The sequence below is a fragment of the Homo sapiens genome, chromosome 10 (genome assembly GCF_000001405.40).
Source record: "Homo sapiens chromosome 10, GRCh38.p14 Primary Assembly".
NCBI lineage: Eukaryota > Metazoa > Chordata > Mammalia > Primates > Hominidae > Homo > Homo sapiens.
The window spans coordinates 29,833,832-29,849,606 of record NC_000010.11 but is presented as its reverse complement, the minus strand read 5'-3'; the positions used below and the strand labels follow the sequence as shown (position 1 = coordinate 29,849,606).

General features: G+C 45.4%; 2 long non-coding RNA genes across 2 annotated transcripts; one reads left to right on the top strand and one right to left on the bottom strand.

Moving 5' to 3' along the window:
* The first annotated feature begins 6,306 nt into the window (after nt 1-6,306).
* Nucleotides 6,307-6,865, top strand: LOC107984172 (uncharacterized). The gene is made up of 2 exons (XR_001747287.2): nt 6,307-6,516; nt 6,729-6,865. It is a non-coding gene; the product is annotated as an uncharacterized LOC107984172 (long non-coding RNA).
* Nucleotides 6,866-9,860: 2,995 nt separating this feature from the next.
* LOC102724333 (uncharacterized) lies at nt 9,861-10,867 on the bottom strand. Its single transcript, XR_428684.2, has 2 exons — nt 10,791-10,867; nt 9,861-10,053 (listed from the first exon to the last, which is right to left on the bottom strand). It is a non-coding gene; the product is annotated as an uncharacterized LOC102724333 (long non-coding RNA).
* Nucleotides 10,868-15,775: the final 4,908 nt, after the last annotated feature.

The following is a 15,775-nucleotide window of genomic DNA, read 5'->3' as shown; positions in this document are numbered from 1 at the left end:
AGGCAGCTCCAAAAGCGAGGGAGAAATCGCCGTGAGTACAGAGTGCCACAGAGAGAAGCCTGAGCTAGAGTGTGGTGGGACCGTGAGCCAGGGAAGAGCAAGAGCTGTGCCTATAGGATAGTCTATCTCCAATTTGAGCAGTGCCAAGAAAAGCTGGCCAAGCATATCCAGATCCACACTGGTAGACCCCATTCCAATGGATGGGGTTTCTCTGGCTTTTCCATTTGTTTTACAGAAGCTTAAAATATGACATATGATTCCATTTATAGGAAATTCTTGAAAAGGCAAAACTAATCTGGAGTGACAGAAAACAGAAAAGTGGTTGCCTGGGGCCAGTATGGGTGGGGAGGTGATTGTAGAGGGACATGTGAGTGTTCTGCTTTATTTATTTATTTATTTATTCATTTTTTGAGACGGAGTTTCGCTCTTGTTGCCCAGGCTGGAGTGCAATGGTGCGATCTCAGCTCGCTGCAACCTCCACCTCCCAGGTTGGAACAATTCTCCTGCCTCAGCCTCCCAAGTAGCAGGGATTACAGGCATCCGCCACCACACCTGCCTTTTTTTTTTTTTTCCAAGATGGAGTTTCACTTTTGTTGCCCAGACTGGAGTGCAATAGCTCAATCTCAGCTCACCGCAACCTCTGCCCCCTGGGTTCAAGTGATTCTCCTGCCTCAGCCTCCTGAGTAGCTGGGATTACAGGCATGCACCACCACACCTGGGTAAATTTTTTTTGTTTTTTTTTTTTTTAGTAGAGACAGAGTTTCTCCATGTTGGTCAGGCTGGTCTCGAACTGCTGACCTCAGGTGATCCACCCGTGTCCACCTCCCAAAGTGCTGGGATTACAGGTGTGAGCCACTTCACCTGGCCTAATTTTTGTATTTTTAGTAGAGACAGGGTTTTGCCATGTTGGCCAGACTGGTCTCGAACTCCTGACCTCAGGTGATCCGTCCACCTCAGTCTCCCAAAGTGCTGGGATTACAGGTGTGAGCCACCATGCCCAGCCATGTTCTGCATTTTGATTGTGGTAGTGGTTACACAAGTGGAGATGTTTGCCAAGATTCATTGAACTGTACACTTATAATGGGTACATGTTATTGTATATGAATTATATCTCAGTGCAGTTGATCTTCAAAAAATATACATGACATATGAGGAGCCCTTCGATGGGGTTGTCAACGACTGGTTTGCAAAAAAAAACAAGAGTTATCTGGTAGAAGAAGGATCCGACTTATTCATTGCAGCCCAAGAAGTGGAACTAGAACAAATGCACATACACTATAGGAAGTGGATTTCTACTCAATGGATTTTTTTATGAATAGTCTTGCTCTGTCTGCCCTTGAATTTGTTTCGAGCCAGTGATCTGAAGGTTTTTTGTCTTTGTTTTTGTTTTTCTGCTGTCCTGGAAATTTTGCAAAGGTGTAGCCTTCAGCCTGAAAGCAGCAGGAGCTCTGCTTCCATGTGAGCTCCTTGGTGAATTATAATATCTCAAACAATTCAGAGAGGAAAGCGATCTTATTCCGAGTGTCATTTACCAATGAGGAGACTAAGGTTAAAAAGTTGATAGTTTTGACTCTTCCTGAAAGGTAGATGGGGTATATCAGGTACCAATTACGATGCTTCAGGTTGGAAATAATAGAAATTCTAACTCAAAAATGGCCTAAAATGGGAGGCTGAGGCAGGAGGATCGCTTGATGCCAGGAGTTCGAGACCAGCCTGGGCAACATAGCAAGACTCTGTCCCTGCAAATAATAAAAAAAATAGCCAGGCATGGTGGTTTGCACCTGTAGTCAGCACCTGGGGAGGCTGAAGCGGGAGGATCGTTTGAGCCCAGGAGTTCAAGCCTGCAAGGAGCTATGATCACATCACAGGACTCCAGCCTGGGTTACAGAGGAAGATCCTAACTCTATTTTTTTAAAAAAATGTTTGAGAAAATGAAAGAGCTTATCAAGCTCAGAGGTCCAATGGGCTTCCAGTTTGTATTGATCACGGCTCTGGCCCCATTTTTCTGCAATTCTCTGGTCCTCTTCTCTTCCATATGTTGCCTTATCCCTTAGGTTGGTTTCCTTTCTGGTAGCAAATGGCTGCAGTTAACCTAAGTCTCATATCCTTATACTTACCATACCACACAGAAGAAGAGAAATCTTTTTTTACCCCAAGAACTAGAAAAGAGTTCTGAGTTGCAGTCTGATTGGAACAATTCAAGCCACATGTCTTCCCCTGAACTGATTGGTAGGATTATCCTGATTGGCATTAGATCAGTCAAGGCCCACCCTGGAGCACAGATGGGGTCCAATCACCAAACTAAATGTGGCTCCACCCAAAAGGGGAGAGATGGAATTTTTGCAGAGGAGGCCACCGTGTCTCACTACTACCCCCTCAACCAAAGCAACCGATGTTCCTCCTTGGTGAGAATTTCTTCCTCTAGGTGTGCATGAGTATTTTTACTATCTTCAAAGGTATGAAAGGAAAATAAATATTGGGCCCCCAAATCACTAAGCTAAAGAAAAGTCAAGCTGGGAACTGCTTAGGGCAAACGTGCCTCCCATTCTTCAAAGTCACCCCTCTGCTCACTGAGATAAACCCATATCTGATTGCCTCCTTTGGAAAGGCTAATCAGAAACTCAAAAGAGTGCAACTATTTGTCTCTTATCTACCTATGACCTGGAAGCTCCCTCCCTCTTGGAGTCTTCCTGCCTTTGCTACCAGTTGTCCCACCTTCCAGACAGAAACAGTGCTCATCTTGCATATGTTGATTGATGTCTCATGTCTCCCTAGGATGTGTAAAAGCAAACTGTGTTCTGACCACCTTGGCCCCATGTCATCAGGACCTCCTGGGACTGTGTCATTGGGCACGTGTCCTCAACTTTGGCCAAATAAAGTTTCTAAATTAACTGAGATGTGTCTCAGATTTTTGGGGTTCACAATGGATATTTACTTAAGGTGTCTACAAGAAAATTACATAGTCACACAGTAAATGTCCTAAGAATTTACTGTTGAAATTTTTAAAAATTACATGATCCAATAACCTGTGATCCTTTCAAAATTACTTTCCTCTGATCTGTGGCACAGAATAATGAAGTCCCAGAGCCTCAGCGTGTTTAAGAACATGCTTTTGGTTTCTGTGAATTTTGCCCATAAGAGTAAACATCTTGCTAAAGTTGCCTGTAAGAGGTAATAAGGTGAAAGAACAACACAAAATTAAACAAAATTAAAATTAACCCAGTGGGAAAAACTGAGGCTCAGAGGAATTAGGTTGGCTGATGATGATGTTAGTGGCAGTAGCTGGATTAAAATGCAAGTCTCTTTATTCTCTAGTCTGGTTCTCTCTTCAAAAATCAAATACTGACTTCTGAGTGAAATCAAAGAAAACCTATTTTCTGCCAATGGATGGTGTGAAGGTTAATTTTATGTCAACTTGTCTGGGCTGCAGTGCCCAGATATGTAGTCCAAACATTGTTCTGGATGCTTCTGTGAGGATGTTTTTGGATGAGATTTGCATTTAAATCTGTGAACTTTTAGTAACATACATTGTCCACACTATGGGTGGACCTCCTCCTATCAGTTAAAGTCTAGAACAAAAGGCTGACCTCCAGAGTTTGAGACCAGCCTGGGCAACAAAGCAAGACCCCTATGTCTACCAAAAAAAAAAAATTAAAAATTAGCCAAGTAGCACAAGCCTATATTCCCAGTTACTGGGGAGGCAGAGGCAGGAGGGTCACTCGAGTCCAGGAGTTTGATTGCGCCACTGCACTCCAACTTGGGCAACAGAGGAGACCCTGTCTCAAAAAAAATAAAATAAAAAAAAAATTGCTGAACTCTCTCAAGCAAGAGCAAATTCCCCATCAGACTGCCTGCCTTCAGACTTCGTCTGCAACACTGGCCCTTCCTGATTTTTCACCAGACTGTCCTTGGACTCAAACTGTAATTTTTTCCTGAGCCCCCAGCCTGATGGCCTCCCGCATCAGATGTTGGACTCACCAAGCCTCCACAATTATATGAGCCCATTCTCTAAAGTAAGTATCTTTTATACACACACACATTCTATTGTTTCTCTTTCTCTGGAAAACTCAGACTTATACAGATGGTCATATATGCAAATGTCCATGTTAGAGGTGAAGCTACAATATTTGTCCTGAGAACTGGGTTGTTTTGTCATAACAAACTACACCAAAACTCAGTGACTTAAAATAACAGTTCTGTTACTATTTCTTGTAATTCTTCCATTGTGGCTGGGCTTAGCTGAATGGTTGTTCTGCTGATCTTACCAGAGGTCACTTGTATCGGTGCATTCAGCTGAACAGTCTGCTAGGGCCTGGGCTCAGTTGGGGTGCTGGGATGGTTGGTCTTTCCATCCATTTTGTCTCAGGGCCTCTCCCTTCCTTCTGACCTCCCTGACTGCCCCTCTAGGGGTCTCTCCATGTGATCCCTTCATCAGGGTAGGTGAACTTCTTACATAGAAGCTCAGGGTATCAAAGTGCAAAAGCAGAAGCTGCAAGGCTTTCTTAAGGCTAAAGCCCAGAATTGGTATAGTGTAACTTCCATCACAGTTTATCGGTTAAAACAAATCACAGAACCAGCCCAGATTCAGGATGCATCCAAGAACATGCATACTGCAAGGCATGGTTTATCAAGGGCCATGGCCTTATTTAACAACAACACAGCCTGAGTGTACCCTTATGCAATGGCATCCTTCAGTTCTATCACCACAGAAGGTAAATTGAGGTCCACTGACTTTAAAATGATGCCATATGGTAGCCAATGGAAAACCAGTGTGGTGAGATGGATTTCCTCACTGGACACAGACTCAGTCTCACAAAATCCTAGTGGCATTGTGAATGGTGTTTTCTCATTAGCTCTCATCAGCACCTAGCATCTGTATATTTATCATTTTACTCTCCCTGCTCAGATTGGTCTGTTGACTCTCATTTCATGATTGACGATAACCAGATTCTCACCAATAATGGGGCATAGAGGATTAAAGCAATTAACCTGATAGTTCATTCCAACAGCATATTTCCTATAGTATCTATTAATGTCTTCATTTTATCACTCAAATAATCAAGTGCAAGTTGGAACTCTGGATAACTTATCGTAAGACAGACTTGATGCTCCATTGGCTTTAGTAACCCGGCTCCCTTGCCTGGTGTTGTCTGTGGAACCCCATGTACTTTGCAATTTCCAAAAAGGTGAAGCACTTTTGAGCCACTGTGAATGTCATCAGCAGTCCCTAAGAAGAGCATCTGGGAGCTGCTGAAGGCAAGAACAGTGCAGGAGAGCCAGGCAGGGGAGCACATAGCGTGGAGCATCCCAGGCCAGGCTCTGTGGGATGTTTTGGGCACTAGACCCTCTGGGTAGCTGGCTTGGCAAGGCAAGAAACATGGCAACCAGAACCTTCTCCAAGACTCCAAGCCAAAACCTGCCCCAGACTTGGCTACTTGGTTGTACCTGTAAGAGCCCAGGAGTACATTTGATATAGTTTGGATTTGTGTCCCCACCCAAACCTCATGTTGAGATATAATCCCCAGTGTTGCTGGTGGGGCCTGGTGGGAGGTGACTGGATCATGGGGCTGAATTTTCCTCTTTGGTGCTATTCTCATAATAGAGTTCTCACAAGATCCAGTTGTTTAGAAGTGTGTGGGACCTGCCCCCTCACTCCCTTCCTCCTGCTCCAGCCATGTGACATGCGTGTGCTTCCCCTTCACATTCCACCATGATTGTAAGTTTCCTGAGGCCTCCCTAGAAGCAGAAGCCATCGTGCTTCCTGTAAAGCCTGTGGAACCATTTGCCAATTAAACCTCTTTTTTTAATTACCCAGTCTCAGGTATTTCTTTATTGCAGTGTGAGAACTGACTAATACAACATCTCTTTTTTTTTTTTTTTTTTAATTTGTGACAGGGTCTTGCTGTCCACTCCAGGCTGGAGTGCAGTGGTGCAATCTCAGCTTACTACGGCCTCCACCTCCTGGGCTCAAGCAATCCTCCCACCTCAGCCTCCTGAGTAGCTGAGACTACAGACATGTCCTGCCATACCCAGTCTTTTTTTTTTTCCATTTTTTGTAGCGACAGGATCTTGCTGTTTCCCGAACTCATCTAGAACACCTGGGCTGAAGCAACCCTCCCTCCTCAGCCTCCCAAAGCACTTGGATTACAGGCTTGAGCCACTGTGCCTGGCCAGGAATAAATTTCTAACCCATCCCATGACTCCCAGCAGAAGGAAAGTCTAAATTTAGCCATAGTTTCAGAAACAATGCCCTTACATGACGTGAAATAAACAGGTCTTTAAGAGAGAGGTGCCAGCTCCTCGTTCGTGGATGCATTTGTCCACCTAGGAATAGACACACGCTGCACATTTCCTGCATGCTGGGCTCTGTAAGGAGGAAGGGAGAGGCCCCTGCTTGGAGAAGCTTTCCATCCAACAGATGTGGATGCTACCTATGCCACCAGTGTCAAACATAACTTCAGGATCACAGAAGAGGCCGAGAGTGCTAAAAGGTCACGCTGGAATGAAGCATATGAGGTAATATTAAGAGAAGTAGCGAGAGTCGGTGCTAGGGTCTGAATGTCTGTGTCTCTCCCGAAATTCAGACATTGAAACCTAATCCTCAAGGTGATGGTATTAGGAAGTGGGGAATTTGGGAGGTGATTAAGTCATGAGGGCAGGGGTCTTGTGAATGGGATGAGCATCCTTATAAAAGAGACCCCAGAGAGCTGCCTGGTCCCTTCCACCAGGTGAGAACATAGCAAGAAGCTACCATCTGTGCACCAGGAAATGGGCCCTCACAAGACATCAAATCTGCCAGCCACCTCAATGGTGGGCTTTCCAGCCTCCAGAACTGTGAGAAATAAATTTCTGTTTTTATAAGCCACCTGGTTTATGGTATTTTGTTACAGCAACCTAAACAGACTAAGACAATTGGCAAGATCAGATGTATTTGGCAAAGATTTGCATAGACTAGAGTCCCGCTGTGTGGCTGGAGCAAGGGAAGCTTGCGCTGTGCCTCAGGTTGATCCAGTCCTTACCTTGTGGCCTTGCCCGATCCTCACAGCACCCCTCGGTGGTGAGAATGATTATCTCCATTCTATGGATGAGGATATGGATAACCAGAGAGGTTAAGTGAACAGCCTCAGATCACACAGCCAATTCAAGTCAGGGCTGCTGCAGAGAGCCTGAAACAGGGGGATCCTGGGAGGGAAGGAAGAGCATGCATCCTCTCACCCAAAACAGATGTCTGGCTGAGTTCCAAAAGCAAAAGTACTCTGAGTGGGTCCCACCCCTGATGGGGAAGGCAGCCCCCTGGCCACCAGCCTGGGGAGGCCACACAGTTGCTGCTATCCCATGGGCAGCTGGCCCCTTCCTCCCACAAACAGCAGCACCTGCTCACCAGATCACCAGGCAGAGGCAAGATGAATGTTCGCAGCACCACGTCCTGCTGAAGCTCTACACAAACACAGCACCCATGGCAACCAAACAGAGGGCAAACACAGGAGCAGGAATGCCGCTGTGAGAACAAGGCCCAGGAGTGACAGCCACGAGCCACCCACTTTATGGGCACTTACTAAGTGCCAGGCGCCACATCAAGGATTAAATACCTTATTTAATCATCGATGCAGCCTGATGAGGAATGTGCCATTGCTGCCCGCTTTAACAACAACGAAACAGACATGAGCAGAGTTGATGGAAGCTGTGTAAGGAGAGAACCAAAGGCTCTGTCTGAGCCCGGGTGTCTGATGCCACAACCCAGCCACAATCTCCATGCTACCATTTCCCCTGACAGACACCGAAGTAACACAGCCCCTCGGGAGAGCTGGGCCCCCAAGTTAGGGACAGGTAAATGGCGACACAGAATATAAGCTCCTCCAAGGCAGGAATTTTGTGTTTTGCTCATTGATGGGAAGCAAGCTTCTACAATAGTGCCAGGCAGGTGGATGACTTTGAATAAGTATTTGTTGGCCAGGGGCGGTGGCTCACACTTGAAATCCTTGCACTTTGGGAGGCTGAGGCAGGTGGGTTGCTTGAGCCCAGGGGATTGAGACCAGCCTGGGCAGCATGGTGAAACCCTGTCTCTACAAAAAATACACACAAAAAAATTAACCAAGCATGGTGGCGGTTGCCTGTAGTCCCAGCTGCTTGGGAGTCTGAGGTGGGAGATCTCCTGAGCCCGGGAGGTCATGGATGTGGTGGGCCATGATCACGTCACTGCACTCCAGCCTAGGTGACAAAGACCCTGTCTTAAAACAAAATTGTATTTGCTAAGGAAAATCAAGATCCAGAAAGCCACCCTGAGATGTAAACGCTCAATTGGTCAAGTGACTTGATCTCACACATTAGCCTCGCAGTTTGAAATTCAGATTTTTCCTTACTAAGGCCTAATAGTAAAGTCCCTTAAAAATGTCATTTTAAATATAGTATAATTGGTCAAGGAACCACATCTTTAGCTCTGTTCTTATTCCACACGGGAGAAGGTTAGGGGAGGAAAGTGACACATTTATTGTCCTAGAAAGCCGCTGGCCCGAGAAGGACTTTGACCCCAGCACCTTCCTCAGCCAGCCACACAGGCTCACCCTGGGTCATCTCATTTAATATTCAATAATGCAACCCCTGCTTTAATGACATGGAATTTTGGGTTCTCATTTACTGTATGATGGTGGGATTTTCCATGTCGCCATGTGTCGCAGATGTTTCGTTTCCATGTAAACAATCACCCACATATTGCATCTACTCATGACAAAGCCAGTGGCCCTCAGAGGCTTTCCATGGTTTCTGCCCACAGCCCCAGGGGTCAGCCCTGACCTCCCCTGCTCAGGTATGTCCTGGTGACAGCAAGTGTAGAATCTGCTGGAAATAATAAATACTATGAAGCAGCAGAGAGGGTTTCTGCCACACTGGCGTTTTATTAGACCTGCAGGATCTGTCAAGTGCGTCTGTTTTGCTCTCTAGATAAATGTGGAGCCAAAGGGTGTTTTTCTGACCGTGAATTCTTGGCATTTGTTCAGGCTTCTAAATAAGCAAAGTGAACACTGCCAGTCTCCTCTGGCACTGCTCGGGACCATTTAATGAATAATAGGATCATGGATGGGACCTGATGCAGGGGCTTCCAAACTTTGCAGGCAGTGGAACCCTTCTTTCCCTTACCCTGAAGTCCATCATTGTATTATAGTATCACATCATATGTATTACATCATCTTATAGAGCTGGCAGTTCTGTGGATGAAGCCAGGTGGCATCTGGAGATTCTCCGTCTGAGCCCTCCTTAGCCTTCCTTCCTCTAGCCCTGGGCCACGGCTTCTCTGGAATATCCGGGGCCTCAGTGAGCACATTTCCAGAAAACTGGTCTAATCCAACCCCTTCATTACAATGGTGGTAAACAAAGGGCCCCAGAGGCCAAGAAACTCAGCCAGGATCACACAGTGAATTCATGACCAAGCTGGGGCCAGCACCACGTCCCCGACTCAGGAGACAGTGCTCTCTGTATAGTCCATCACCAGTCCAAACCTGCTTTGTTTCTAACCTGCGGCGCTGGGAAACACACCTGCCTGGGACAAGTGCCTGGAAAGAATGCAGCTTGCCCTGGCCAGAAGGCTCCCGGCAGGTCTTGTGCAAGTGGGTACATGCAAATGATCGCACCTGGCTTACCTGTGAAATGTGTAGATTGTCAGAAAGACAGCTTGCATGTAAAACCTGAATTCCAGGGTTGACTGCCCCACCCCCAAACCCATCCTGGTTTAGATGTAAGAACCTCTCACAGGCAACAAAGCTCTCCCTGGCTGGCCTGACTTCCCACCTCTCAGTGAACATTTTTTCTTCCAAATGTGTTCTTTAATGCTCTCCTTCCTTTCCTCCGCAAAAAACAAACTCAAAACCTTCTGTTTCAGCCGTTTATTTACTGGAGGCAGATCAGAGATGCACCTCGCAAAAATGACACCATGAAAGTCGAGTTAGAACCGGGAAGAGCTTATTCAGTACCAGGGCCTGTGTTCACCAGGGCAGCCCCTCATGGAGGCCCTGGCGTCCTCATCATCTCGAAGCTCCCTCCCAGCTTCAGCATGCTAAGAGCCTAAAAGAAATTGGAAACAAACCAGTTGCCCTCTGTCCAGGTGGAGGAGTCCCTCTCTGGCCAGGAAACAGGTGCCACCCATGAGCCCCCAGCCCTGCTGCAGGGGCAAATGAGCTCTTGGAAGAATAAGTGCTATGACTGATACAAAAACACAACAGAAATGCCTCCAATCCCCACAGAGTTTGTGGTTTATCCTCTGCCTCCTACACTAAAATGTCAACTCTTTGAGGAAGGCATTGTGTCCCACAGAGCACACCTATTTCAGTAGTCTTTTATTTTCTTCACCTTCTCAGTTACCTTTCTCGTTAGCTTTAACTACTTTAGGAAAGCTGGCCAGATACAGCTGGGCCCTAGCATTTGTTCTGATCCCCCTCTCCTGTCCACCTTGTCTCAGCTGATAGCCTGGTGCCAAGGCCTGAAATGGGAAGCTCCTTCTCCCTCCCTACACCCTCCTTCTCCCTCCCTCCCACACCCTTCCCTTTCTCTCCCTGCACCCCTTCTCTTCCCTTTTGCAATCTTCTCCTCCCTCCTGTATGCCTCTCCCTCCCTCCCTCACCCCTATCCGCTCCCCATTCCTCCAGCACCATTACCTCTCCCCCTTCCTCCTTGCACCCTTCTTCTCCCTCCAGCACCCCTCCCCTCCTCCCTCCTGCACTCCTCCCCATCTCTGTATCTCCCCCCTCCCTCCCCCCTTCCCCCTTCACCCCTCTCCCTCCCTTCCTTCCTGCACCCCTCACCCGTGCTTGGAGGAAAGTCACATGGGGTCTTTGGCTGGAACACTCAGTGGCGCTCAGAAATCCTAAACACTGTGGGCTCTGCAGCGCCTGCCAGAGAGAACAGGGAGTCCTCTCGGAGGCCAGACTCAAAGCAAGCAAGATGGAAGAAGCCTTATTAGGTCATCCAGCTAGAGCAAGGGATGAGCCTCTTTCTTCTGCTCCCCAGCCCACAAGAAACGCCTGATCTGGCCATCTTTGTCCCTCTATTTGCTACTAACTCCCCTTTGGGAATGTGCCCTCCTCCCAGTGACCCACAGTCCTTCTCTGGCTGCATCTTGTCCTTCTCCAGACCTGGAAAGGAAACCCAGGGAATGACTTCTGCCCCAGAGCCTGAATCCTCTTTGTTCCCATCCTCCTGACCTCCCTTGCGTTATCTCCAGCACTTAGCACCTTTTACCTTCCATGTGGCTACTTTATTTGTTAGGTTTGTGGTTTATCCCCTGCCTCCTATGCTAAAAAGTAAACTCCTTGAGGAAGGCATTGTGTCCATTTGGGTCAGGCGTGTATCTTAAGTGCAGTTTCCATAAATATTTATTGAATGAACTTCTTAGGCACTAAGATAACCTTCAATGCATATTCTCTCACCCCCTACCCTGTGCTGCTGCTTCTCAGCTCTTCCTGCACATAGAGCCATTTATATGACATGCCGTGTGGAAGGACGGTATCCTTGTCATTTCCTAACTCATTCTATCTGGAGGGCAACAGCTCCCTTCATCTTCTTGGAGCAGGTGAACTGATCTGAGCAAACCCTGCACTCAATTTCCCCATGCCATGAGCAGGTGAATTTCCAAAGGCTACTAACAACTGTCAGAACTCAAGGGGCTAAGAAAGCATCAGCAAGCCAGCAATGAACAATACAGCCCAGCAATTCTGACAGCCCCCAGTGCCGCTGTGACCCTGGCCTTGCCTTGACCTCTTCACCCAGCTTCCTTGACCCATCACCTCCCATCTACTGTAATTGCTCTCAAGGAAGAATCTTCCAACCTCTGCCACACTCATGCATGAACACTCAGTTAGACTTGGCATGCTCCCTCTGTGAGAGCAGTTGTACTTTCAACAGTCAAGCTCAAGGTCAAGAATGGACCCCTGCCAGTAAAATGTGAACATCTATTGGTGGGCTGGGTCTGGCTGATCAGACAGCTTAGATTTTTGGTCCTTGAGTCCACAAACCTCCAGGGATTGAACCTACTCTTTCAAAATATTAATTTGTGATTTCTTATTATGAAAATAATATATCCTTATTGAAAGTGTTGTTACAATTTTTTTTTTTTTAGAGTCTCTGCCAGTAACTATTCATCGATAACCCTGTGTATTAGTTCGTTTTCATGCTGCTGATAAAGACGTACTTGAGAATGGGCAATTTATAAAAGAAAGAGGCTTAATGACTCACAGTTCCACGTGGCTTGGGAGGCCTCACAATCATGGCGGAAGGTGAAAGGAAAGGCACATCTCACATGGTAGCAGACAAGAGAAGAGAACTTGTATGGGGAAACTCCCCATTATAAAACGATCAGATCTCATGAGACTTATTCACTATCATGAGAATAGCATGAGAAAGACCCGCCCCCATGATTCAATTATCTCCCACTGGGTCCCTCCCACGACATGTGGGAATTATGGGAGCTACAATTCAAAATGAGATTTGGATGGGGACACAGCCAAGCCATATCACCCTGTAACATTTTATAATTTTTTTTTCTCCCTGTTGCACAATCATTACCATTTTTCTTGTTTTCTCCTTCAGGGAAAAAGAAATTTTTTAGCCTATCTTTTTTAATGGTGGTGGCTCACAGCTAACTCTGATTCCTAGGAAGTGTGGAAGAGCTTATAATGGTGGAATAGCCTGAAGGCTAGCATGAACCCCTGAGGACAGGGCCTTGACGTGGTTTCCTTAATGACATAGAACAGGCCCTAAATCAATGCTGTGGACTAAACACATCTTTGGACAAGTCCACAGCAAAGTGCAGCAGCATGGGTCACTCTGTATGATTTCAAGGGATATGAAAGTTATCTTCCTTGGGTTAGAATTCCTCCTCTACCCATTTGCTAATACCTACGATTCCACCGTGAGAACCGTATTTTGGAAAGGCCAACTCTATTTACAAGTGATAAGACTGAAATCCCAGAAAGGTGAAGTGACTTGATAAGCTTTGACATATGTTTAAATATCCAGGGAAGGGAAGTACTTGAAGCTGTCATTCATTAGTCAACACAGTAGTCACAATGATGGTGAATGGGTCTTTCTTAAACACTAAAGGGCAATGGGAAGAGGAGGAACCTGGAGGGCTCAGCACTGGAAGATTAGGGTGGGAGTGGGAATTCAACCAAAGAAGTAAATGCGGATGACTGGAAAGGCAGGTGACACCAACAACTAACTTTATCCTCTTCCCTTCTGGGTTAGTTGTATTTAAAAAGGACACACCTGAAGATTCTACCGCCAATCTGGCCCTAGTTAACTAGTCGACCTCAATACGTAAGATAAAGGGATTGGACCAGAGCAGTGATTCTTTGATCTTAATGTACAACAGCATTACCTGGGTAGCTTAGAAAATACAGATGCATGGACCCTACTCCCAGAAATTCATATTCAAATGGTCTGGTTTACAGCTCAGGTATTGTTTTTTGTTTGTCTTTTGTAATGCTCCCCAGCAGATTCTGACATGCAAGAAGGTCATTTCTGAAGTCGCTTTTTAATTCTAAATTCAGATGACATAGAATTTGAGAACCAAAAAGCCTTGTGTTTGGTTAATTTTCACTGCCAGGGGGGCCACCCAGTCCACCTACACATATCTCTAGCCTTCACAGATGCACACATGTGCACACACATGTATCTGCACACAGTGGGGCTGTGCTCATAGAGAGCTGGAAGTTTCTGTGATGCCACATTACAAGACAACTTCCAATGGCAATACCTGCATGCTATCCTTATTCTCTCTTCATCTAAGGGTTGAACAAACAAAGTGGAGACAAGGGAGTCCCTCATGGGTAAACTCTTGATTGACCTTTTGAGAAGATACAGTACATTTCCCTCCTAGTACCCACCAAGAGTTCATTGATTTAGTAAAACACTCTATGTGTCATCTATGAGGCTGTCTCTTTCTCAGATGACTAGAAATTTGTAAAACATTGAAAGGACATTTTTAAATGTAAAAAACAAAACAAAAAAGAGTTGGAGGGGGTGATAACAGTAAATGCAATCATAATTTATCATATTGCCAACACCATAAACCTCATTTTGATGCAGTAATGTCAGCTAATGAAGAGAGTAGGCTCTGTCTTCATCTGAGTTTGGAAACAGCATTATCAGCACGAGCATAATCTACTGATTTTTCTGTTGACCTCTGAGGATTTTCTGTGCATATGTCTACCAGAACCCTAACAGAGCACATGCATTTATACAGTTAGGGAAAAATGAGTCACATTCTCAGAGAAGTCAGCCTTGTAAGTATTTGGGAAATACTTTATCCATCCCTGCAGGCCCTAAAACACCCAAGAGCTTTCTTAAGTTTATGCAAATTTATATATTCTCATGTTGCCTCTGAAAGTGTCCATTTCACAATAATTAGCATCTTAGCCTGAAGGCACAGGCATCTATTGTTGTTATTTTCCCATCTCTTAAGTAAAACTCTATTGGCAAACTACCACTTATGACCTCAAACTCCATCTGATTCTCATCAAATGTACCCTTTGCAGTGAAAAGAAAAGCCAAGCTGAACTTTTACAAAGTCAGCACAGATATATCTTTGCAGGTGCCACATCTTGTATATGGAAAATAATAGAGGCACAATTTCTAGAAAATAGCTGGTTTTTATAGCTGCTATGAGTTTTATAGAGGAATGAGTAAAAGAAGGCAGCCCCTGGGCCATCTCAACATCTCATCAGCCACAAATAGGAGACCATGAGCAGTGCAGATGTTTGAAACATACAAAAAAATTCCAATCCAGGAAAAAGGAAGAAGGACGTGGGCTTTCTGCACACCTGACCATATGGAAAGTGAGTTAATTTTATTCCAATTGCATTACAGTCAAATGAGAGTGTGTTTTTGCCAATGTGAAAAGCCAGAATCTCAGTCCGGGTGCAACAAAGCTATTGATTTATTACAAACCTTTAAGACTAAAGGGGAAAAGTAATCTAGTTCTGGGACCAGAGCCATCCCTTCGTTACTGCAGGGGCAGCCGACAGTTGCCTTCGTGGTCTAGTTTGATGAGCACTGCAGCCTGCCACCATGCTTGAAGCTTCCACCATTAGGAATCCTCCATCGTATTCAGATATTGTATCTCCCTGGATTCCAAAAACCTTCTCTGCAATATCCCTGGTGGACACTTCCAGGGATGGGAAGCTAACTGCTATATAAGGCATGAATTTTGGAGACTTCTTCCCTGTATTGAGTTGAACTCTCCCTGTAGTCTTCATTCATACATCCTAATCTTGCCACTCCAGAGTTCCATAGAATAAATCTACTACCCTCTCCCTGTGACAGCCCTTCAAATATTACAGGGCAGCCTGCAAGTCTCCTCTAAGCCTTCTCTTTCCAGACTCAAAACCTTGAGCTTTTTCAGTCCTAAATGATGCCATTTCCAAAGTCATTATCATTTGAACCACCTCTCTCTGGACCTGATGGTTAAAATACAAAGCCAAAATGCTAGTCTTCCAGAAGGTGTCTGACTATAGTAGGACTGCTAGTACTTTCATTGATTTATTGGCTTTATTTCTCTCAATGCATTCTAAGGTCCTGTTTATACTTTGGAGTAACTATATTGTGGGTTCACACAGAGCTTAAAGTTAACTAAAAACCCCTCAAGGTTCTTCACACAAATTCCTATTAAGCCAGGTCTCCCTGCTTGCATGTATAACCTAAACTTGTATGTACATAACATATATATATGTTTATGCAAATTTATATATTCTCATGTTGCCTCTGAAAGTGTCCATTTCATAATAATTAG